Source organism: Homo sapiens, chromosome 11 (genome assembly GCF_000001405.40).
Source record: "Homo sapiens chromosome 11, GRCh38.p14 Primary Assembly".
Lineage (NCBI taxonomy): Eukaryota > Metazoa > Chordata > Mammalia > Primates > Hominidae > Homo > Homo sapiens.
Window position 1 is genome coordinate 96,140,734 of NC_000011.10, and position 26,074 is coordinate 96,166,807.

At 41.6% G+C, this 26,074-nt stretch overlaps 1 protein-coding gene across 3 annotated transcripts in view, besides 2 other annotated features; it reads right to left on the minus strand.

Annotated features, from left to right (window-relative positions):
- Positions 1 to 26,074, minus strand: part of MAML2 (mastermind like transcriptional coactivator 2) — a 366,598-nt gene that overhangs the window by 164,136 nt on the left and 176,388 nt on the right. The window lies entirely within an intron of this gene.
- Positions 8,854 to 10,053: an enhancer, noted in NCBI's record as "P300/CBP strongly-dependent group 1 enhancer chr11:95882751-95883950 (GRCh37/hg19 assembly coordinates)". NCBI's record gives its function as "activates an origin of replication core promoter dependent on BRD2, BRD4, P300/CBP, MED14 and CDK7 cofactors, with strong dependence on P300/CBP, by STARR-seq in HCT116 cells {active_cell/tissue: HCT116}" and the evidence as "EXISTENCE:reporter gene assay evidence [ECO:0000049][PMID:35650434]".
- Positions 15,437 to 15,556: an enhancer, noted in NCBI's record as "active region_5420". NCBI's record gives its function as "activates an Ori minimal core promoter by ATAC-STARR-seq in GM12878 lymphoblastoid cells {active_cell/tissue: GM12878}" and the evidence as "EXISTENCE:reporter gene assay evidence [ECO:0000049][PMID:35858748]".

The following is a 26,074-nucleotide window of genomic DNA, read 5'->3' on the forward strand; positions in this document are numbered from 1 at the left end:
GAACTTGAGGGTCAGGCGGCTCTTCCTCCCTCTAGAGCCCACCAGTCTGGATTAGGGTAAGCCTATGGGCTAAGGAGGTCAAATACACTTGACTGGCTCCATTTATTCCATCACGGGCCATGCTAGGAGCTGTCATTTTAGGGACACACAGGAACATCACTGTCTCTGTCTTTCAAATGGCTTTATTTGCTGCTTTTGACTCAGGACTAGGTTGGCCAGATGTAATAAGTAAACATATAGGATGCCTAGTTAAATTTGAATTTCAGACAAACAAGTCATTTCTTAGCATAAGTATGTCTCATGTAATATTTGGCCTGTCTTTACCATACTGTTGACCATATCTTTATTGTTAGTTATCCAATACTCAAAGGCTTAAGATAAGCCTAGGTATATGGGGGAAGAAGGATGACATGACATCCTTCTGGTGAGGTGCTTACTTTTAGGCTGGAGTGCAGCACATTTTTAGTACAAATATGTCCCATGCAACATTTGAGACATACTGGAAAACAAAACAAAACATTATTTGCTGTTTACCAGATATTTAATTTTAATTAAGTATCTTGTATTTTAATATTTAAATTTAATTAAATATCTTGTATTTTACCTGGAAACCCTACCAGGACCCTTGACATCTCCCCTGAAATACAAAGGAGCAAAAGATTCCCTATGCACAGATAGTTCTTTATCTTTATACTACGTAAGAGGCCCCAGCTAGAGCCCCAGTTGTGCTTACCCTGAGAACAGGGCATATTTAGGTCTGTCAGATGGAGAAGAGAAATCCCACCAGGGTCCATTTAAATGAGGAACCAAAGAGTATCGCAAGAAAAAACTCATCCTCAGGGATGAGAGCCAAGGTAAATGAGTTTGAGGCACTATCATAGAAAAAGGGGTGATTCTGAGCACAGAAGACCTCCTCCCTCCGATTGCCTTCCTTCTCCACACATAAGGACCAGGCCTTAGCAATGGGGGTGGTGATACAAAGACACAGGGCATAAAACAAACAAAATAATGTAGCTTTGGAATCAGGAGTTTCTGTATCAGCAGGGGAGCACCGTCAGCTTGAAGCTAGGACCGCCTCCATGTCCACATCGATGGGCACTGGCAGCAGAGCTGGCACTGTGGCCAACATTACCAACAGGGCTGTCTCTGCAGGTGCTAGCGGGACGCATCACCACAGCAATCTGAGGCAGGATGAGAGAAAACTAGCCAAGGCGTTGGGGCGATCAAAAAAGCTAGCCTGAGAAGATATTCATTTAATTAACATTTACCAACGTATAGCATGCAGTCTGTTATGTGTAGCTAACAGTACAATGAAAAGATATGATCCCTAATGTCATGGTGCTCACAATCTAGTGCAGGAAAGCAACAAGACCAGAGACAATCACAATATTGTATGGATAGAGCTATAATAATTTGCAAGCACATATGAGGGGCACCTAACCCCTCTTCAGTTTGGTAGAGTAGGTTTTCTGAAGAAATGACTTCTATGTTGAAACCCAAAGGACCAGTAAGAATAATTCAGGAGGAAGAGTCCATATGAGGTGCCCCTAGAAAATTTCTCATCTATTTGGGAGAAATCTGAAGGGGCTAGAGTTCCCATCTGAATGATGGAAGAATTAGGGAAATCTTGATTTGTGAATGTTACTCTGACTCTCTTTTTCCCTGTTAAACTGGTATGACTGGAAAAATACCCACCACTTGCTAAGGGCTTATTCTGAGAGTTAACATTGAGAAAATACCATGGTAAGCGTAAATGACATGGAGATCTAAGATCTCATAACCCTCAGGTTCCAGTACGATGTTATTGCAGATTCTCTGCAGCACCTCACCAGTTTGCTGACATTACATAGGCAAACAGTATTCTTTGCCCTATATTTTGCACTTTGAAAGTCCTTTTATACTAAAGAAAGTATTGCCAATGCCAAAGAACGAAATTATCCTTCCTTCCCATTGTCAGATCCAGGAAGGGATCTCATTTACAAAAGCAACCTAAATGCAGCATTGATGAGGTTATTGCTTCTCCTCTTGACGTATCTCTCCATCAGGTTTTGCAAAACTGATTTCTCTTCCTCTGGTCAGAGCAGCCTCAAAATAATAGGTTTCAGAATAAGAAAACAACTATTTTTTTGTTTAATCTTAATAATAGGGTATTTCAGGTTTGTCTAATGAAAACCAGAAGCTGATGATCTAACACAATCAAATACTAGCTTTTGTGCAAAAAGAAATAGTAAAATAACGTAGGACCTTGTCTAAATAAGACTTACAACTGATGCCAGCTAAATGGGAAAAAATAGCAATAACCTTTTAAAACATTAATTTAGACTTTTATTGGAATACAAAGGATCTCTAGTGTCTGAAAGCAGGCATTGTCTCTCTTTTTTATTTCAACAGAACTGTGGCTTGAATACAACACAGCAGGGTGTGTGTTTTCTAAAGTTGGGTCATTATCAGAGTGTTCACTGCCGTTTGCCAATAAGCCTTTATTTGGCAAAGTTTAAAACTGCTGACAAATGGGATTCTTCCTGTAGCAGTATAACATGGTACAGCTTAAATATGCCTAATTACAAAAGTCCTCCAAGGGCAGTCAAGAAATCTATGCTTTTGAGAAGATTCAGATGGACAGTCCTCAAATATTAATAGGAAACAGGAAAATCTTTGAGCCCTCGGTCATGTCGCTCTTGCTCCTATTATTATGGATTTTAAGTTGCAGGGGCCTGTGAGATTATTCAAAACAATGTCTAGTTTTATCCGAAGCTGCAGGGATTTCCGATTTCCATAAATTTCTCTGGAGACATTTAAGAGGCGGTTTTTTACTTCTGCACACTTTGGTCCGTGGGTTTCTGTGGGTGTGTGTCTGTAACTTTCCTTCCCTGTTCTAATTTGTCCCTGTTCAGAGACAAATAAATTGGAAGATTATTATCCAAAACTCCAAACAACATTAATTCCTTGCACATATTTTGTGCTTTTAGACTCCAAGAATGATAATAGACAATCTCTTTAGAATGTGGAAGGGGGACCAATGTCAAACCATTTAATCACAATCTCCACCTCCAGGAGCCCCTCTGAAAGAACAGAAGCCTTACTTGAACTGGATTTCATGGGAAAATCTGTGCCGCGAACCTTGCTCTCTAATTATAGCTGGGGGAACGTGAGGTTTGTTTGGAATCAGATGTAGCTTTCCACTACCATAATTACACATTTTATTTCAAACACCTCACTGCAGTGTTTGAAGATGTTAGCACAATTGCACTAAGTATCATCCTGGAGTTCTTGCTTGGGAGGTCTGGTAGAGAATGAAGGAACAGGACAGCAATTGAAATGATGAGTTTATAGGAGTCTAATAATTTCATGGCTGGAAGTATGACATAAAGAAATGAGCTTGGGCTTTTTATTCAGAGCTGGGAGTTCTCGTCTCAATTCTGCAGCCTAACTGATAAGACCTTTTACTAACCAGGTAAAACAATTAGCAACTGGGATCACATTGCTGGGAAGATGCTGAGTAACATTAATTAGAGTCTCAAAGGACTTTAAACAAATACGTACATCTAGAGAAGAATTTTTATAATGTAGTTAAGAATGCTTATTGAGAAAGAAACTCAGTGTCTATAATCCATTGCTGACTAGCATGCTTAGCTATGGTTAAATCTTCCAGTAAGCCAAGAATGAGGGGAGAAGAGGGAGGCAGGTTGGGACGAATAGAGTAAGTGGTAGAAGTGGGTTCTGTTCAACCATATGTAGAGGAATTAATCAGCTCTTTTTCATGGATTTAGGGCCCTCAATCCCTATATAATTCCTCAGATATTTGTGCTACCTGCCCCCTTCCCCTCCATGTAGCTGACCTTAGAAGATTAGAAGAGAGAGACCACTGGGCTTATTATCTGATGAATGGCTCTGTTTTTACTGTGAAATTATAGGAAGTGGTTTAAATTGAGAATAATAGAAACAGTAACAAATAATAAGAATACTTGCTATCCTGTGTTAGATCATCTGGCAGGCTATCTGATGAGAGATAGGGTTTCATCTCGGGAAGTTTTAGAAAAGAGGCCAGATATATACCAAGTACTACTCTAGGTATTTCACAGACATTTTGTTTCACTCTTATACAAATCCCGTGGAAGAGAAATGACTTTCCTCATTTTAGATTCTAGGGAGTGACAGGGGACAAGTCAAAGGTAATTTGGAGTGAAGGCTGCCCTGATCAACTTCCAATGCATTGGATTATTTTCATTTCATCATTTTCTCAGTGCTATGGAATCTTTGTGATCCATTAATAATATTAATAATAATCCCTACATTTGTATGGCATTTAATACTAATGGTTTTCAAGGAAGTTTCACATGCATTACCTCACTGGACTCTCAAAAACAAGTCTGTGGGTTGGGCAAACAGGAATTATTACCTTCATTTTAAAAATAGTGAAACTGAAGCTCAGAGAGGTGGCATGCTTTATTTAGGGCTAAGACCAGAGTCCAGCTTCTGTTAGAACTAAGCCTTGCTTCCTGTTTTCCCTTTGGAGACCTTGAGGAAGACCATGAGCCGCCAAATAGCTACCATGATATTGCTAAACCCTGTACCAACTCGTGGACAGTAGTCTCATTAAACGCTCAAGATCCTTGGATGGAGACCAAGAACTCTCTATCTCTGCAAAAATCTCTACAGAAACATTTTTCTCTTTACTCTGCCTCCTCATTTAAATGCTAAAATATTTACAGTGAGTGATAAGTCAGATAACATCATGCTGCCTTGTGAATTTTTAGGGAAAAGATGAAGAGCACATGATAAGGCTGGGAATTTTCAACTGCCTGGCACAGTGGAAGAAATATTTGTCTAGGTGTTAAGACGTGTGGGTTCTGGTCCTGTCTCTTTCACTTATTAGCTGTGTAACCTGTTACTTGTTGTGTTAAAATAAATCCTCTAACAGTTTCCTAAGTTATTAAAGGGACTGTCCTGATAAAATCATGATGTGTGAGGGCTTTTAAAAATTGTATACTTGTTCGGGCGTGGTGGCTCATGCTTGTAATCCCAGTACTTTGGGAGGCCAAGGCAGGCGGATCACCTGAGGTCAGGAGTTCGAGACCAGCCTGGCCAACATGGCGAAACCCCGTCTCTACTAAAAATACAAAAAATTAGCCGGGCATGGTGGTGGGTGCCTGTAATCCCAGCTACTAGGGAGGCTGAGGCAGGAGAATTGCTTGAACCTGGGAGGCGGAGGTTGCAGTGAACCAAGATCATGCCACCTCACTCCAGCCTGGGTGACAGAGCAAGACTCCGTCTCAAAAAAAAAAATTGTATACTTACACGTGTGTGTGCCACACACAAACATTGTGACATGCAGTATGATCACATAAAATATGGATGATTTTCAATCTACTCCTATAACCACAAAGTGAGGGAAAAGGTTTATATATCCATATCATTGTGGTAGCATGGTATCTTACATAAGAGCACCCTCAGGATATAATTTTTATAATATTATTGGTAGCAGGAGCTTAACTATTTGAAGGAAACCAGATAGGTTTCTTATAAGGAATTCCATCTCTTGGGATCCTTGAGCAGGCCATGAGATCTGGTAGGTTTTGACAAGAGAAAATGAGAAACCATGCTCAGGGCCAGTCTGGCTATATGTACTCACTACTTGCTCATAGTTGAAATGATTTTTAAGAATTGTATACAATATTGCTATTAGCAGTGAATCGGGGAGGCAGGACAGGGGACAAACCATGGGACTCAGAGTCAGAAAGGGCTGAGTCCAAATCTAAGATATATCACCTGCCAGCTGTTATGAGTCTGTTGTCTAACATTTTTGACCTTCAGCATCTTCAACTGTGTGAGCTGATCACACCATATCATAGTTTACTTTGAGGATTAGATGAAATCTCTGTGTAAAGGACCTCAAATACTTGCCATGAGATAGGTACTCAGTAAATGGCAGCATCAGGGTTTTCTACACTCCTCATCCTACAACATGGACTCTGAATACAGCAGTGAGGCAGGATTGTGTCATCCAAACTTGAGGATTCCTCATCTATTGACAGTTGTTCATTTGGGTTTGTAAGAGAGAAGTAGTTTGATGTTGAAAATGCTGTTGGTTACTTATTTTTGTTGAGATTCTTTAAAAGTGAAAAGAGGCAGTTGACAGCCTTTTTTAATGCAGAAGCTCTGAGAAAAATGGTGCCAGACCAACCTGTTTTGGCACACTCTTTGCTGAAAATGAAAGGCCATGTGATCTCCTGGGGATCATGAGACTTGAGTTCAACCTTTCAGCTACCCCAGAGTGAGATCATGTTCTATCCTTCATTTATTAAGAAACCATTTATAGAATACCCACTTATGAGTTAGTGTCAAACTCATTGTAGTGTACTTAGTATCTGGCTCATTGTAGGTGCAAGAAAATTTGTAATAAGTAATTATATGCATGACTGAAGAAATAATACTATATATGCTATACAGCTAAACTTTTTTCCTCAATACTTCCTTTTCTATAAGATGAGTGATGTGGACTATAATCTCCCAGCTACCCACAAATCCCCAAGTTTTAACTTATATATTTACATGGCTTTAGATACAATCTAGGTCCCTACATGACTGTAATATGGATACATAAAAGTTTATAGCATAACCCTTATTTTTATACTTCCTGCACTTATCATTTTTTTCATCCTTTATCCTTGAATTCATAACAGTCTTAGGAAATGATTCATGAATGCATTAAACCCTCCCTTAATCAGATACATGAAAAATTATAGTGTTAGTTTATATTTTTTTAAATCGTAGATCTGATTTATGGCTTTTATAGTTCAAGTCAGAAACTTTTGGATTCGACTCTTCCATGAGCAAAGGCTATGTGCTTTAAGTAGAAAAAGTTTCTTTACCTTTTCCACGTAGGTGAAGAAACAAAGACAATTTAACTAAAACTTTCCTTTTTTCTTTCTCTCCATTGATTTCTGGCTAAAACCCTTCTTGGGCAAATTTTGCACCAAAGTAAACTGGTTATAAGGAAAGGAAAATGAATTTAGAGATGATGTAGTTTTTTACACTCCAGTATGATTTCCGAATCTATCACATGCACATTGTAGGGGTATTGTTCGGAGCAAAGTATGCACTTGGGGTACCCCTGTGTTGTGTCTTAAAAGGGGGATTGTTTTTGCCACAGGACATAGAAAAGAATGGTCTGATGCATGCTAGTCACATCACCTGCCACTCTGAAAGAACAGTCAGGGGCTTTAGGCATAATGAAAATGAGGAGTAAAATGCTGGGTGTTTATCTCCAGCATTCCAGATAGAAATATATCTCTGTCCAATGAGAAGCATCTCCTTTAACAAGACTGTGGTGCATTCATCTCTCCTGCGTATACACGACGAGCACACCTCATCTGTCACGTCGGGACATGTTAAAAGGAACCCTCTTCCCCTGCTCCTTTCTACTCTGAATAAGTAATTATGAAAAACAAATCATTGCCATGTCTCTTTCTTTCTTCATTTTTATTGGGTTTTGTCTGCCTGTCTCCCGTGGACATAAAGAATTGTTCTGTTCATTCAGATTCAATGATTTTCTTTGGGGGGTTGTTTCAGATAAAACAGAAGGTCTGATTTTGTCAGGCATGCAGCTCTGAAAGTCTCTTAGAGCAACTATACATATGAATTTGAGGGCAAAATGTCACCCTCTAAGTGAACTGAATGGAGAAAACACAATAGAAGTCTGTTAAAATGCTGCTTTGGGTAACATGAAAAAAAAAAAAGCCTAGGTGTGGTCATTCTTTCTGGAGGCCTGGTAGGTGCCTGTCTACACTATGATTTGCAGGGTGCCTACCCGCCTGAAGCTGAACATTATTTTATTTAATGCATTGCTTTCCCTGAAATGTTGGGGATCAATATGAAGTGGGGAAATGTCCTTCTGGCCTGAAAAGTCTGAAAATTCTGAAAAATACACACACACACACACACACACACACACACACACACACACACACACACATAAGCACGCACACTACCTGATAGGAGAAGGCAGGAAGAAGTAGTGTGTGTGTATGAGAAAGACAGACAGCACATGTGTGAGCTGATTAGATGATCTCATAAAGTGGTTTGGAAACCAAAGGACAGAGGAGTTGAGACAAAGCTTTAAGTCCATCTACATTTTGACGAATGGATTCTGCCCAGGCAGGAAGCTAGAAAGGCGTAAAACAGGCCCAGTTAGCATGGATGTGAAATTGATTTCTGAATCCTGACCTCACATATAGCCCTATTGCTTAAGGCGGCATCTTAAACCTCGTCACTTTAGGATCTCCCTCTTAAAGGTTCCAGTAGCCCTCTGTGACGAACATTGCCTTCCACTGTGACATGCAACCCAGTCATGTGCCTCATCCACGGTATCACAGAAGCTCTTCAAAATTGAAAAGTAGGCCAGGTGTGGTGGCTCACACCTGTAATCTCAGAACTTTGGGAGGCCGAGGTGGGCAGATCACAAGGTCAGGAGTTTGAGACCAGCCTGGCCAACATGGTGAAACCCTGTCTCTACTAAAAATACAAAAAGAAAGTTAGCTGGGCATGGTAGCATACGCCTGTAATCTCAGCTACTCAGGAGGCTAAGGCAGGAGAATTGCTTGAACTCAGGAGGTGGAGGCTGCGGTGAGCTGAGATCACGTCACTGCACTCCAGCCTGGGTGACAGAGTGAGACTCCGTCACAAAAAAAAAAAAAAAATGAGAAGTTAAGTTTTCAGCCAGGCGCAGTGGCTCATGCCTGTAATCCCAGCACTTTGGGAGGCCGAGGCAGATGGATCATTTGAGGTCAGGAGTTCAAGACCAGCCTGGCCCACATGGTGAATCCCCATCTCTACTAAAAATACAAGAATTAGCCGGGCATGGTGGCATGTGCCTGTAGTCCCAGCTACTCAGGAGGCTGAAGCAGGAGAATTGCTTTTGAACCCAGTAGGCGGAGGTTGCAGTAAGCTGAGATCACGCCACTGCACTCCAGCCCAGGCGACAGAGTGAGACTCTGTCTCAAAAAAAGAAAAGTAAAGTTGTCCTCAGTCTGTCTCTGTTTGCCTCTGTCTGCTCTCTGTCTCCTTCTCTTTGTCTCCTTCTGTCTTCTCTCGGTCTCCTTCTCCTTCTCTCTTCTAAATTTCTCTGCTGATCTCTCCTTCTTCCTTTGTCTCTGCCTGGCTCTGCCTGTCTCTCTGTCTTTATTTGATCCACCGCCATGTTCTTAACTGTCACCTCAATGCATATGACTCCTGAGTCATCATGGCCAGTACTAAATTGTCTTCTAATTTGTACTCCAAAACTTCTAACTACTTGTTGGATATCTTCGCCTGAATATTCTACCCCTCAAATTATCATGTACCAATCTAAATTAAATTCAATATCTAAATAATTGACTTGAAATTTCGTTAACAATTTTTGACAAATACAAAAGTTATTGCCATCACAGCAAGAAAAGCTTTGCTCTTCCTCCTGATTCATACATCAAACATTTACTGAGTCTCTACTATGTGGGAGTGATGAAGTCACAAAGCTGAAAAAGATAATCCCTGCTCTCACGAAGCTCAGCTTCAATGACAAGTGTGTAATCAGAATACACAGTGCTTGGATATGAGACCTTGCAAGATAAAGTGAGAGCACATAGGAAGGATACCTAACCCAGACTGGGAGCAGGGAGTGGGTTAGGGTGCCCGGGAAGACTTCTGGGAAGTAGTGACACTTACCTTGAATCCTATGGGTTGTGTAGGAGTTAATCTAGTAAGGGGATGGAGAGAGACGTCAGCATTTCTTGAAGCATTGGCAACAGTACACAAGCCCAGACAGACAGCCTGGCAACTCTGAGGAAATTGCAAGTAGTTCAGGATGATGAGAGCAGAGAGTTAGGGCAGGGACATGCTCAAAGCACCCACACCCACAGCTTTGGGGTCTTAGAGTCATTAATGAGCGACCCATTCCCCCTCACCCTACATAAGATAGTATTAAGCCCTGAAAATTTGACTGCCACCAGATAGTCCTCGTCTCCATCCCTGTGGTCACTACTCTAGTTCAGACCTGCTTTACCCTTGTAGGGCCACCATACTAACCCCTGCTTGACAGTTTCCAGGCCTCCCCAACTCTAGTTTATTTTGCCTCCCATTACAGCATTTTTCTGAAGTCTCCCTGCTTAAAGCGTGTTCTACAGTCTAGCAGCATCAGCATCACCTGGGAACTTCTTGGCAATGCAGCATCTTAAGCCCCTCCCTAGACCTACCGAATCTAAATGTATACTTTAACAAACTCTTTTGGTGATCTGAATGCACATTAAAGTCTGAAAAGCATTGCTTTCAAGCATAGCTCTACTTATCTCCCATCATTGCTGAAACACAAAACCTTCTGTTGCTCACTGGTGCCTGCTGAATACACTTCAAACTCCCTCGTCTAATTTTCACTTTCTTCTAGCCTACCGGGACACTTTCCTTTTTCAGAACATGCTCCATCCATCCTTCCTCAGCTCCTGCCTTTGCCCTTGCCTGGGACACTCTTTCACCTCTCTTTATCCTTCTGATCCATAGGGCTGAGCTAAAATGCAGCGTCTTTCTTGATTTCTCCAAGGGGTGCCTCTCCCATCATTGGGCATCCAAAATATTTCCATTATTTCTTCTTAGTCTGTCATATCTTGCATTACAGTTATGAGTTATATTTCTTGACAGCAAGTAATCCGAAAGCTCCTGAAGGGCAGAAACTATATCTAACTCATATAACCGGCCCTTGATATGGTTTGGATCTGTGTTCCCACCCAAATCTCATGTTCAGTTGTAATTCTCAGTATTGGAGGTGAGGCCTGGTGGGAGGTGATTGGATCGTGGGGATGCTCCTTCATGAATGGTTTAGCACGAACTCCTCAGTGCTGTTCTCATGATGGTGAGTGAGTTCTCACATCTGGTTGTCTAAAAGTATGTAGCACCTTCCCCCTCTTCCTTTGTCCTGTTCCTGGCATGTAAGACACCCGCTCCTACTTTGCCTTTCACCATGAATAAAACTCCCCTGAGGCCTCCCCAGAGCAGATGCTGCCATGCTTCCTGTAAAGCCTGCAGAACTATGAGCCAATGAAACCTCTTTTGTTTATAAATTACTCAGTCTCAGGTATTTTTTATAGCAGTGAGAGACTAATACAGCCCTTAGGATTTTAGTTCATAGGTGATCAATACATATTTTTAAGATAAATTGTTGAAAAAATGTTTATAGCTAGGCATAGTGACTTATGCCTGTAATCTTGGCACTTTGGGAGGCCAAGGCAAGAGGGCTGCTTGCACTTGAGGCTAGGAGTTTAAGACCAGCCTGGGCAACATATTGAGATCTCATCTCTACTATTAATAAAAATATTAGCCAGATATGGTGGTGTGCACCTATAGTCCCAGCTACTTGGGAGGCTGAGGTGGCAAGTTCACTAAGCCCAGGGGTTTGAGGCTGCAATGAGCTATGATTGCACCACTGCACTCCAGGCTGGGCAACAGAGTGAGATTCTGTCTAAAAGAATAGGTGAAAAAGAGTAACTGCATATTGTTATCAACAGCAAAAGAAATGTAGACTCATTCAGCACTCACTTGGTAACATCCAACAAATGACCTCTACTGGATTTAAATGACAAATCGAGAAACAACTTATTCCCAACTACTACAGCTATTAAAAATATAATCGACAGAGAAGATAGAACACCAGTTGAAGTTCTGTCCAAATGTTTAAGTGTTAAAACTCTGCAGTTCTCACTTACCTTAAATATCATATAGCACATGGCCAGCAAGAATTCTAGGTGTATAAAACTCATTCTCTCTTTTCTTCCAACTAAAGCGAGGGACCGTGGGGGCTAGCCATAAACCCTTTGATCATTTTCTTCAGTGTATCATGTGAAATTTGTTTCAGTCTCCTGACACATGAACACATTTACCAGAAATATTCCTTAGAGCCAATTTGTATAAAGCAAGGAAGAGTCATGGTGGGTGTAGCAGAAACTTGCAATGTTTCCAGGCAAGGAAATACTGTGTTCACAGAATGCTGATTTGGTAAAAGAAGGAGAGGAGTTTTGCTGGGAGAATACCAATGTAGTTTAACAATGCAGCTCAAACATGTCGGGGCATTCTAGGTGACCAGCTCTCAATGACAAGCCCTCAAGACAAGCAGCCTGCCTGCCAGAATCTCACAGATTGGATGCAAGCAAGGGAAATGCTCCATCTATCTCTCTCAAGGTGGAGGAACCAAGGAGGACACTGCAGTTATATTAAGTGATTCTAATTATCACATTTCTACAGCCAGAATGCAGGGTAGTTTTACCCACTGATTCTCCCAGCAGGAGCCAGCCAGAAGAAAAATTAAGAGGATGCTTTGGAAATCTTCTTTTTTCATACTTAAATTCATAGATGGTCAAGGTATAAAATTTAGGCCCCATCTGGATTTTCTGCTTCTGTTTTTAGAATTTTTTTTTTTTTTTTGCATGAGGTCCCAATTAGTCCAAAACAATGAGGCATCCCTTAATCCCAAATGACGCTTGCTCCTACGCCTGTACCTTTCCTTGTCCTATCAAAACATCAAGACTTGTAGTGGTATTATTTGTTAGGAGGACCACACGATGGCAGTTAAGCATGTGGTCCCTGGGGTCAACCCACTTGGGTTCAAGTCCTTACCCTGCCTCTTCCTAACTGTATCATCCTGGCAAGTTATTGTAACATTCTGCCTATTGAATCTTGCCTTTCTTTTATATTTTGGTATTTTGATCATCATGAATTTATTAGGATTAATTTTGGTTTTTTAAAGGATTACATTAAAATATTATTAATCTTGATTACTGAGGTTTTTGACATTCTCTCAAATTTTTTACCCAAAGCAAGTGAGGTAGTGGCCTGTGTTTCAGTTGTCTCATCTATAAGGGAAAGTTAAAAATAGTGGCTGGGTGTGGTGGCTCACACCTGTAATCCCAGCACTTTGGGAGGCCAAGGTGGGTAGATCATGAGGTCAGGAGTTCAAGACCAGCCTGACCAACAAGGTGAAACCCCATCTCTACTAAAAATACAAAAAATTTGCTGTGTGTGGTGGCACACACCTGCAATCCTAGCTAATCAGGAGGCTGAGGCAGGAGAATCACTTGAACCTGGGAGGCAGAGGTTGTAGTGAGCCAAGATCGCATCACTGCACTCCAGCTCTGGACAACAGAGCAAGACTCCGTCTCAATAAATAAATAAATAAATAAATAAATAAATAAATAAATATGATAAAACAAAAATAGTAACGATGTCACTGGATTGTCACAAGGAATAAAGATGGTAATATACTTACAGTGTTTAAAACAACACTTTGCAAAATATGTGAGCTCTCACTATGATTTTCTTTGACTCTGCAAATCTGTTCTTCCTACATTAGAGAAGGAGGACTACTTTAACAAAGCTTCTCAAACTGAACTTTAACAAAGAATTACCTAGAGAGCTTGTTAAAAATAGATTCCTGGACCCTGCTCCCAGAAATCCTGATTCAGTAGGTCTCGGGTGGGGCCTGAGAATTTGCATTTCTAACAAGCTCCCAGGTGCGGTAGCTACTCTGGGGACAAAACTTTTGAGCAGTCTGCAACACAGAAAATGCAACTGGAGGGCTCCCTATCAAATCTTGGATTGATTTGCTACCAGCACATACACTTACTCCAAATAATAGCTGCTCCTACCAACCTCCTCTCAGACATTATCCAGGTTCAATTTGAGAAATAGAATCAGTTGCCAGTTGCCTCTGCAGCTTTTATCTGCATATCATAGTCTTCCCTTTAGAACTTGTAGGCTGTCTTATCAGTGCTTATCCTGACTTTGTAAATGAATACTTAGAATAACATTGCAGAAGTGAATAAGACCACCCAACAACAAAGTATTTTCAGTATTGGTTGGTAAAGAGGCCCAGTATCTCAGTTCAGTTCAGTTCAACAAACTCTCAGAGGTAGCAGGCACTGTGAATAAAAAGATGGAAGGACCCAGGATATTCACCCAGAGTGCACAGTCCTTTGAGGGAGAGGGACACATGAACATTAACTTACGATTCAGGATGTGACAAGATAGTAACGTGCAGAGAGTGCCATGGAGGAGCAGAAAGGGCACCTTAACCTATCCTAAAGGTGCCAGGTAAGATGTCCTGGAGGAAGCATTAGGTGAAGTGACTCTTCTCCACATCTGAGGGTTACTGCCAGCAGCCTGTGAAGCCCCAGTAGCTGTAACACTCCGGCCTCTTGGCTCCTGATTCACTGTGCCAGACGTGTGCTGGGTCCTGATCCTCCCCGTTCTCCCAGGGAGTGCCTGCTGGCAGGGAGCAGTGCTCTGCTATTCCACGCGGTAAGTCTCATCAAGCAGGCCCTCCTAGATGCCTATGACTGGGTAAATAAGTCTGCCTAATTGGGGACTTCACTTGCCAAGCTCCATCTTCCACCTTAGTCCTTTTTTAAAATGAAGAACAGCGAAGTTTCTTAATTCATTTGGAATTCAGGTGGGAAAAAGAAATGCTCTACATTGGGCTCCCTTCCAAACTTCAAGAAAGGATAGTATCCAAGCTGGGCCAGAAAGGGTGAAGAGAATGCATCAGATGATGATGAGATTCCCATAAAGGAAGTGGTCCTGGGAATGCTGACAGGGCTGAGAAATATTTAGTTCCACCCTGCCTTCTTGCTGATCACATTCCTTGAAATGGTCCTTTAAAGCAGGGTCAGGTTTTCTATGATGAGACCTTGTACATTTCTCTGAGCCCTATTTTCCTCTAAACAATACTACCCACCTCATGGGCGCTGTAACAATTCAAATATATATATATATATATATATATATATATATATATATATATGAGGAAAGTCTCTGGCTACCTAGAACACCCTGGTCCAATGTTTAGCTGTTATTCTCCAGGTTGCAAAGGACAGTGCTTTGTTTCTACTAAGTTGCTCAGTGATGAATGCTTACTGGAAGCCTAGTCACTTCTTCAGAGCAAGGGAAAGAGAAAGAACTGTCCCTGCCCCGCCCCTCCTGCTCTCCTTGAATGTGTACATTCCAGAAGCAAAGGCCCAACAAGCTAACTCATGGTCTAAACATTTCTAGCTATGCTGCTGGGCAAAATGATTACAGCCTGAATAATGGCTGTCGCCTGATGTGTGTCTGGGACGTAACTGCAATGTGGCCTCTGTGGATTGGGAACCATCAAGTATTACAAGAGGAAACATAAAAGAAAACACAGCACATAAACAAGCTCCCAGGATCACTGACATAACAAGCTTCTTTACTTCACTACGTAAAACCCACAGAGGAAAAGTGTTGTGCTGACCGCCCCCCACTGGTTCCTATTTCCAGCTCATGGAAGAATTGGCCCTCTGCCTGTCTGCAGACAGGAAATGCTCCTGGTTTGCTAACATGCTTCGCCTCCGTAACCCAGGGCTTCCATCTGTCCACATGGTCAGACTCTCTCCCCCAACCACACAGAGGAGCCTGTTTTCTTCTGACCCCTTCTGCTCTCATCTTCTCCTCAACCCCCTGCAAGGACTGGAGATGGCTCATGCTGGCCCTGTGCCCAGGCAGCCTCCTCCTCCTCCTCCGCCCCTCACACACCAGAGGTTCATGAAATTAGTCACTTGGACTTTCCATGGTTTCGCTGAAGGTCACTTGCTTTAACTGTCAGCCAGGGAAGAGGCATCTCTGCGGGGAGTTGCAGGGCTGTGGTCTCCCTCCTTGAGAGGGAGGCTAACTCTCATTGTTGGGATGGCTGCCCCTGGATAGCACCCGTTTACTGCCCTCCAACTAGAAGGCAAGAGCTCCCTCCAAGACACTGAGGAGGAAGTCAGTTCCCCAGTGACCACTCATGCTTCCATCCTTGACAGGATAAGGCGATTGCCTAAGCCTTTCATGCTTCATTTTTTCCAACTAGAAAAACAAGGATACTTTTCAGATCACAGAGGTAATCTGAGGACATATTAACCAATTTCTGAAAGCCACCTTAAGTTTGACCAGAGGAAGTAAAGAATGGTCATGGTTCATCCAGAAGTACTAAGATTAAATAACAACAACAACAATTCCATCTGTTTTGTTGGGGAGGAAAAGCAAATTACCAGTGAAAGCAAACCTAGGTCTCTTTATACAATGTTTCATCTCTGAGATGGAACTTTAGTATTATGAAGCAATAAAAACAAAACACAGCAGAATCCTAAACTCGATGTTCTTTTGGCCTTGTGTCTCACTTGCAGGGGTGGTGGACTCAGTAACTGCAGTGGTTTTAAAGTCCCCAGCCATGTCTCATTCAGGCAGTCAAGGCAGACTCAGAAGGCAAAAGGGTTCAAATTGTTTCCCTGGCAGTGCTGAGATGATTCAGCAGAGGAAGGAAGTGCCAGAAAGGCAGACACTACAAGAAGAGATTGATAAACATTCTGTGTTTTGTAGGTTTCTCAATGCTGACATTCGGAGAATGCAGTGAAGTTTCAAAACTCCAGTAGTAAAGATGCATGTCAGAATGGGTCAGACCTATGATGCACAAGCTTCCTTTCTAATAGGAAGTGACACCTGGTAGGAGAAAGGGGCTGTCCTACTTGATGTTCTCATGTCCAAAGTTAAGAGCTTCCTCAAACATCCTGATATAGCATCTTGGAGCTTTGCCTGTGAAATCACATAAAGCATATAAGGCAATGTTTATCATCCTGTGTCTCACCACTGGTGGTCTGTGGAGGAACAGCGAGTGCTACAGTAGGAGAATAATTTTCATTATGGAACGTCATGGGACTTTGGCAAAATGCCATCAGCCTTCTGACCCACTTAAATGTTACCTCTCCCCACCACCATTCTTGTCAGTTCACTGGCAAGAATAACATGCTCATGGAGTATGCATGAAAATCATTAGAAATAACTGATAAGTATCTCTTATACAAAATTTGACTTTTGCAAGTAAAAGGGTATTTTACTTATCTGTATGTATCTATGATCTACCCATTTATCTCTACATCAATATTAGATATATCTAATCCCTACACAGAATATTCAGATGATTGATAGCTAGATATAGATATAGATAAAGCTTGTACATGTGGGTTCCAAAAGATTTCCATGGCCAGAAAGAATCCAAATAAAAAGGTTGGGAACTATGTATTTGCTGTTTATATTGCCTTTGTGGGTAAGAACTTCTGTAAACTTGCTACCTGATAATTTAAGATTACATTTTGTTTTCTTTTCCTTTCATTATTTTTACCCTCAAATTACCTTTTCCAAGCTTCAAGGGGTGGTCTCTAATTCTTATATCCCTTTCCATTTTAATTCAGTTCAAGGAGAATTATCTATTGTGTTTCCAGGGCTGTGGTTTTAGTATTCAAAAGAAATATAAATCATATTTCCTGTTCTCAAGGTATTCCAAGTCCTGTGGGGAAGGCAAGGCTAAACAGAAAAAGTGTTTGAGAGAGTATAATTCTTGCTAAAATGAATTACATGGATAATAGGTGCTACAAGAGTCCTATACACTCCAAGATTTGGTGAAAAATCATAGTTTATTTACAGATGAAAGAGTCCTAATTCTCATAGTCTGTTGACACGTGTTGGTTTCCCTAACACAGTGGACCACCCAGTTGTCCTTCTCTAGCTTTGTTTTGTTGGTCCTGGGGTGACCAGGCCCACACATAGAGATAGGCTCTGCAAGCAATATGCTGCCCAGGTTGACCATCTGCCCCAGTTTCCCTGTGTGGCACAGGGGAAGTCCAGAGTGGCCTTCAAAGGGCAGCTCATGAGGAGCTGCAAGGGAGAGTCTGGAACTGGCATGGATCTCTACTCCTAAAGCCTCTGAGAACTTCAAGAGATAGAAAAGCTTTTCCTGAAATCACAGCAGATTTCTTTTGCCTGGGTGGAGGCTAGAACTGACAAGTCCTAATTTATATATGAAGTCTATTGTTTAATTTCACAGAGGAGCTGTCACCAGGTTCTAGAAAGAATGGTCAAGACTGAGACTACCATGTGGAGAACTACTAGTCTGGGCATTTGCTGCCTGAAGGCCCCCTAGCTCTTATTAAAATTATTATTTACAACAAGTATTACCCAAATGCCTGGGTAAAGATAGAGTTTGGTAAGAGGATGTGGATAAGGCTTCATCGTCCCAGACTTACCTTTCAGGAAAGGACATAAAATCTACTGTGTTAAGAGAATAAAATCTTTGGGAGAAATGGTAAATGGTAGAGGAGAAAGTGTGAAAATCCCAAAAGGTGTGCCTTTGGGCCCCTCTAACACCGGAGTAGAGCCTTCTGTTTCCTATTAACTAGTGGGGAAAGGGCTGCTTCTGTTTCTTATGATACAGATTTGGAAAATATAGATTTGCAAGGAATCCCTGAAGGGTTAGTGAAGTTAATATGATTTTCATAAAGACAAGTTGTATCAGAACTTTTGTCATAGAAACTTGAGTGGAAAGAACAGCAGAAATATGAAAAAGAGGAGAAATCAGTGGTCAGTTTTTACTTAGATGGCACAGTCCCTTTTGAAACTTACTGCCAAGCAGTAATCTTTCTAAAATGTAAAGCTTACCAAATGGCTTGCCATCCACTGTTGGATGAAGTCTCCACAGCAGTAAGTTCAATGCCTTTAAATCATCAGCCCTAAATTACCTTTCCAGGCGGATTTGTTGTCAGTCCCTTACCCCATCTCCTGTGAAGCCAATTCAGTTACTAACCGTGCCTCTAAACCACTGATTCTTTTTTTTTTTTTTTTTTTTTTTGAGACGGAGTCTCGCTCTGTCACCCAGGCTGGAGTGCAGTGGTGCGATCTCGGCTGCGAGCCGAGATCACTGCGAGCTCCGGCCTCCCGGGTTCACGCCACTCTCCCGCCTCAGCCTCCCGAGTTGCTGGGACTACAGGCGCCCGCCACCATGCCCAGCTAATTTTTGTATTTTTAGTAGAGACGGCGTTTCACCGTGTTAGCCAGGATGGTCTCGATCTCCTGACCTCGTGATCCGCCCACCTCGGCCTCCCAAAGTGCTGGGATTACAGGTGTGAGCGACCGCGCCCGGCCTAAACCACTGATTCTTAAACTTCACGGAGAATCTGAATCACCTGTAGGGCTAAAGTACAGCTTACGCTGCCAGCCCCGTTTCTCCAGTAGGGCCTGGAAATTTGCATTGCTATTAAGTTCCTAGGTGAGGTGATACTGATGCTGCTGGTCTGGGAAAAAACTACAATTTAAAAACTCCTAACCCACTGCCTCTACTCTATATACTAGTTCTACTTTATTTAGAGTAATATCATATTCCGAATTTATTATAGTTATTAATAGCTGCGTGCTCTGTAGTGTTTATTGCCTTGAATCAGGAAAGAGTATATGTTTTAATAAGTTTTGTATCTCTCTTGCCTGCCACAGTGCTTTTCCCCTATAGAAAGAGATTAATAAGCACTTGTATGTTAAATCAGCAGGAAACCAGGCAGAAGAGATGTGTCTTGTGAGCCTACAAAAAGCCCTGGGGTGCTTATGTTTAGATGATCTCACAGAGTTATTTACATCAAGGCACGGGGGAAGAGCCCCTGATCCTTTATTCTTCAATGCACTCTTCAGGTTGCCTCCTATTTCGTCTCTTCCCTTGGAAGGTATTCTGAATTCTCATTCGAACCTGGCCGACAGAATGGGCTTCCGAATCAGAAAGCTGGATTTGAACCCAACTGTGATACTTACAAATTTTATGGCCTTTAGCAAATAGGTTGACCGAAGTCTCAGTTTTCCAATTTTTTTTTTTTTTTTTGGAGACAGAGTCTTACTCTGTCACCCAGGCTGGAGTGCAATGGCATGATCTCGGCTCCCTGTAACCTCCCCTTCCAGGGTTCAAGTGATTCTCCTGCCTCAGCCTCCTGAGTAGCTGGGATTACAGGCGCCTGCCACTATGTCCAGCTAATTTTTCTATTTTTAGTACATATGGGGTTTTGCCATATTGGCCAGGCTGGTCTCGAACTCCTGACCTCAGGTGATCCGCCTGCCTCTGCTTCCCAAAGTGCTGGAATTACAAGCGTGAGCCACTGAGCCCAACCCAGTTTTCTGATTTTTAAAGTAGGGACTAACACTCCCCAATTTAAAGATTCGTTTTGAGGATTCAATAAAATAAGGAATAGAATCTATGTAGCCCTGTGCTTGCTACACAGTATGTCCTCTTGCAGTATCTATTATTGATTATAAGTGCGCACTTGGGTGAGAGCACACAGTGTGGTTTGAACCAGAGTCCCCGCCCTCTGCGAGTGACCCTTGTCGAACACTTTCCTATTAATCACTCTGCAGGGTTTGACAAAGAGTTGCAGGATAACTGGAGAGGCACTGCACCTTTCCCTGAATATCAGTGACCTCAATTTCTGCCAGGGGAATAAATCTTCCATTTTAATATAATATCTCAAGAGTCAATGAAAAGTAGGAATGTCACTGAAGGAAGCCACTAGAAACTGCAGAGCTGAGGAGAGTGGGAAGTGTCCCTGAGGACCGCTCTCTGAGAAGATGCCTCTGTACTGCAATTAGGAACATTTAGACCCTGAAACGGGAGGAATGTGGTGGGGAAGGCAAGGGAATTAAATTTCCTCAGCCTCCCCCACACAAATCAATCACAAAGGAAATAGGCATTTGAGGGAAAAGTTCCTTTAGAATGTATTTTTCTATTTGTATGTCTATTACCTCATCTCATAAATCTCATTCCCTGCTAGTATGACTACTTGAGCAGAACAGCCCGGATCTTTTTCAGTCTCTTAATAGGTTCATTTTTTACCCTGTAAAACGGACAGAGGAATCTCGGGATCCAGCAGATGGGGAAGTCGCATGTTAAGAGACTGGCAGGGAGGTCACTTGAGATTGAGAATGGGGGATGTGCAGCTGACCCTCCAACTGTCTTCCAGATACTGGAATTATTTACTTCCATGCCAAAAGAAGAATGTGAGGCAATAAAAACATGATCTCAGGGTCTATTCTATATCTTATTTAAGATTGTTTTGTTTCACGTTCAGCATTCCTATGTCCTGAGTTTACTCCACAACTATAGAGTTCGTATGCGACTCCACCGTTTGCACAGCATCAACATGTCCAGGAACTTTCCACATTTTACCTTCCAGATATATCTCCCAGTTTGCCTCCTGTCTCCCAAATCATAAGGAACTGGACGATGAGTTTTGGTTTAGGAAATATAATCATGGCAATAGATGCCCTTCATTTTGCAGCGGAGGAAAGCTGGATCTTACAACAGGTTGGTGCCAGTACCTGTGGGCTGAAAGCTAGCTCTTCAGGCCCTCAGCACATTACTCCCTTCTACTATACCATGCAGCCATCATATTCATTTTCAGCTCTTGAAAACATGTTTTAAATTAAGAAGCATTTAAATGCTGAGAAGACATCCCAGACCCCAGCCTCTGTCTGGTTAGAGACAGAAGAAAAATAAAGTTAAAGGGCATGTACATAACCTCACACATGGAAGCATTCTCTTAATTTTACTTTATCAATCTAACTTTTTTTTTTTTTTTTTTTTTTTCTGCAATGAACATATCCAGTTCTTTACATGCAGAATCAGGTCTGACTTTTTTTTTTTTTTTAATTCATAAGAGGCTCATAAAGTCAAGTCCTGGTACCTCGACATGGTACAAAACAAAGCATTTTATTAAAAAGCTAGTTAGATACTCAGAGATCTTCCAGACCAGATCTAGCGATTGCTATGCTCCCGGAATTGTAGTAGGTTTTAGGTATTAGAGGTTAATAAAAAGATAGGCTGGGCACGGTGGCTCACACCTGTAATCCTAGCACTTTGGGAGGCTGAGGCGGGCGGATCACCTGAGGTTGGGAGTTGGAGACCAGCCTGACCCACGTGGAGAAACCCTGTCTACTAAAAATACGAAATTAGCCGGGCATGGTGGTGCATGCCGGTAATCCCAGCTACTCGGGAGGCTGAGGCAGGAGAATCGCTTGAACCCGAGAGGTGGAGGTTTCGGTGAGCCGAGATTGCGCCCTTGCACTCCAGCCTGGGCCAAAAGAGTAAAACTCCGTCTCAAAAAAAGAAAAAAAAAAAAGGAAGTTAATAAAAAGATAAAGTCCCTGTCCTCATGGAACTTACAGTTGAGCTTAACTACCCTGAACAAGGGGGTCTGAGGAGGGCTCTTTCCTAGGCTGCCCTAGATGCGAAAAGCCTGGAGTCTGGCATAGTTTGATTAAATGACCATCCTTCCCAATTAGCCATGAAAAACACTGCTTGTGTAGCTATGTCATTATCATTTCCTGCTTGGATTAGTGTAATCCATGATATGCAGGCCTTCTGTGCTCCAGCATTTCCTCTGGGGATTTGCAACTTTTGCAAAACCCAGCTTTAGAATGTTGGCTGGAGCCAAGACTTCATTACTCACATTACTCCTATGCCAAGCAAACTTCACGGGCTTCCTTTACAGTGGAGTGCACACTATAAACGTTCCGTAGTTTAAAGAGATGAACAGAAATCTCTTTCCCAAACCCGAGACTGTCTCGGCAGTTTAAGTATACACTTCCCTCCCTTCAAGAAAAAGTTGGCAGTTGCCAGCCCCAGACAAGGTATGTGTTCATCTCTCATTCCCTGTCAAAAAAAAGCTGGATGCTGTAGAAATGATTCAGGCCTTCAGTAGAGTTGATGAGGCTCCTTCCAGTTCTATCAACTCTTCCAGCTTTTCTATTTGTCTACAGTGGCTATTTCCTGGGAGACTCCCTTAGGTATGTCAACTATCTTATACCCACAATATCATTCTTCCAATCATAAGCTCTTATTATCTTCACAAACAAAATAACCCTGGAGATCAACCAGAAATATTTCAAATGAGAAAACTGAAGCTGAGAAAGACAAGGTACTTAGACAAGGTCACGGCTAGGATTAGAACCCAAGTCTCCTAACTGACCTATACAGCTACTCCATCTTCTCCACTAAATAGTTCCTACTCCAGTGACCTGTGACATCTATCTAGTCTCTCTCTACATTTTCAGCAATGATCATTTTTATCTGTAGGTTGTCCAAACCTTTGGTACTGTTCTGGAAGGGTCCTGAATACCAAATACCACTTCGTATTGATAATATTGCTGAGGTAATATCTCAAAATAGATTTTCATTGCCAGAGCAGGCAGAAGCCCATTAAAGGATATTCTATCTTCTGAAGAAATACTGAGCTTTCTTTCTCTCTTTCTTTTTTTTTTTTTTTTTGAGATGGAGTTTTGCTCTTGTTGCCCATGCGGGAGTGCAATGGTGTGATCTCGGCTCACTGCAACCTCTGCCTCCCGGGTTCAAGCGATTCTCCTACCTCAGCCTCCTGAGTAGCTGGGACTACAGGTACCCATCCACGCCTGGCTATTTTTTTTTGTTTTTTTTTGGTATTTTTAGTAAAGATGGGGATTTCACCATGTTGGCCAAGCTGGTCTCGAACTCCTGACCTCAAGTTATCCACCTGCCTCAGCTTCCAAAAGTGCTGTGATTATAGGCATGAGCCACCGTGCCCAGCCAATACTGCGCTTTCACAAATCCAAGCTGCAGGAAACAGATGAAAGAGCATTATATTGCCTTCTGGTTATGGGTCAGTCTATCTCTGTGAATCTAGTCATAAAAGCATAGAAATCAGAGCTGAAAGGGACTTCAGAGATCATCTTGTCAACTCTTTCAGTTTAAAGGTGAAGAAAGCAAGACCCAGAGAATACTAAAGATTTGCCCAAGGCTACAGAACTAGTTACAAGGAACCTGGGCCTGTCCTTTTTTCCCTATCACACAGTGTAGTAACAGAGTCCTATGGCACCTGATATACCCAGTGTTTTTTCCATCCCAGTATTTTACCAATAATACTGTTGCTATTTAGGATTCTATAAGAAATTCCCAAGAAAGAAGAACATGCTCTTGATCTTCTTTTTAGAGTGATACAGATTGTGCCAAAGCCCCAAACTCACCTATTCCATAGCAGGAGGCACAAGCCAACATACAACAAATCCCTGAACACAACACAGAAAAAAGAAGAAAAACCACCCTATCGTGATCTCAAAGAAAGTAGGGTCAAAGATCTGATGGGCACCGCGGACCATGTACCCTTTGATGTACAATGCTTAAGACAGATAGTGTGTCACTTTCATAAGTAAAGCAAGCACAAAAAATGTCAAATTCTGCTTCAAGGGCAATGAGCCTCCCAACAGGACTGATTAGGGGAGAAACCCACCCATCCTTTCTATTTTCCTCTTCATTGAACTTGTGCAATATATTTCCATAAATGTCTTAGTGGCCAGAACTTTCAAGGGCAAGAACTTTCCATTATATAAATAATAGACAACAATTATAGAAAACTTGGAAAATACAGAATATTATACAGAAGAAAACGAAAGAGATCTATCTACCATCTGTAGATAAATTCTGTTAATTTTTCAAATATATCTCACCACTGTTTCTTCTAGGCATGCATATGCACAATATTTTTCAGATAAATTGACCTCACATCATTATACATTGCTTTGTAGTGTGTTTTTTTCCCTACACGTTGCAATTTATTAAGAATATTTTTTTTTGCAAGTGGTTCTTAAACTTTAGTGAGCATCAGAATCACCTTGAAAGGCTTGTTAAAACACAGAGTGCTGAATCTTAATCCCAGTTTCCGATGTGGTGGCTTTAGGGCAGAGATCCATAATTTGCATTTCTAACAAGTTTTCAGGAGATATCATTGATGGTGTTGGTCTGGCAAACACACTTTAAGAACCAAAGTTGTACCTTAACGTAATTTTTTTAATGGCTATATTCTTTTGAGCAGATGTGGCATACAACAGACATTAGGGCTTTTCCAATTTTTCAGTTATAAATAATACTGTAATAAATATTTACATTTTACATATCTCTGTTTTTTTAAAAAAATGGCTTTATTGAGGTATATTTCACATACCATAAAAATCCAATTCGTTGTTTCTTGCACATAAATTCTAAAAAGAAGAATTGCTGGGTGGGTCAAAGATTACGAATATTTTTAAGGTTTTTGATACATATCGACAAATTGTCCTCTGAGGTTATACATAATTACGCTCTCACAGCAGAGTACCAGAGTCTCATTTTCTGATTTCCTGGGGGCAACCCAGGGTATTACAATTTTAAAAACAGCATTACCAATTTTAAAAGAGAAAAACAGTATCACATTGTCGCTTTTATTTGTATTTCTTTGACATCAATTGAGGTTGAACATTTCCCCCATATATTTATTTGACATTAGTATCTATGATTTTGTAAATTGCTCTGCCTTAGGCAGGATATTTGTGCAGGTATCATGCACAGCACAAGACCATGAGGACACAGTCATCTTATGGACAGACTAATGGACACAGAGAATATCCTTTGTACAATATCATTTCCCTACAATTCTCATTGAATGCCAGCATTTCTCTCGCTCTCTCTCTCTGTTTCTCTCTCTGCCTGTCTCTTCCTCTCTGTCTCTCTTTCTCTGTCTCTCTCTCTCTGTCTGTCTCTCTCTCTCTCTCTCTCTCTCACACACACACACACACACACACACACACACACACACACCCCACATTATGAAGGACTTTCAGGCTGTGGGAAGCCCCAGGGATTGCAAAAACATGCTAGACTAAAAACTCCCAACTGAATTGAGTGAGTCAGTTTTCTGCAAATAGCCAACTGAATTTAAAGGATAAGTGTGATCATGTTTGTTTAGCTAATTTTAAAAGAAAGTGGTTATTTTCGTTAAGTTAAATAGTTTTCTTATTGTTTCCTTATTTTCTTGTTTTCTTATTGTTTCTGCTCTGAGGGTGTGCAGACTGATAGACGTTCCCCTTGCACAGTGGAAGTTAGAAGAAAGAGGACCCAACCAGACAGCTGTAATTGCTGATGTTTGAAGTTTCCTAACTTGCTGCCACCGAAGGCTTAAGGTCGAATGTCAATAGCTAAAGCATTGGTGAAGAATTCTGCATTCTGAGGTTCGCTGGCATTCACCCAGATGGGGAAGGGGATGTTATGTGTCTGTCACAGGTGAAGGAGGGCTGGTGCCCAAAGCATCCAATACAAAGGTACTGTCTGTTTTAGGTTTCAGCCTATCTAGAACTTTTTAGAGGAGTTTCATTTTCCTAAAATTCTTCTGAATAAAAACAAGGTGACTCC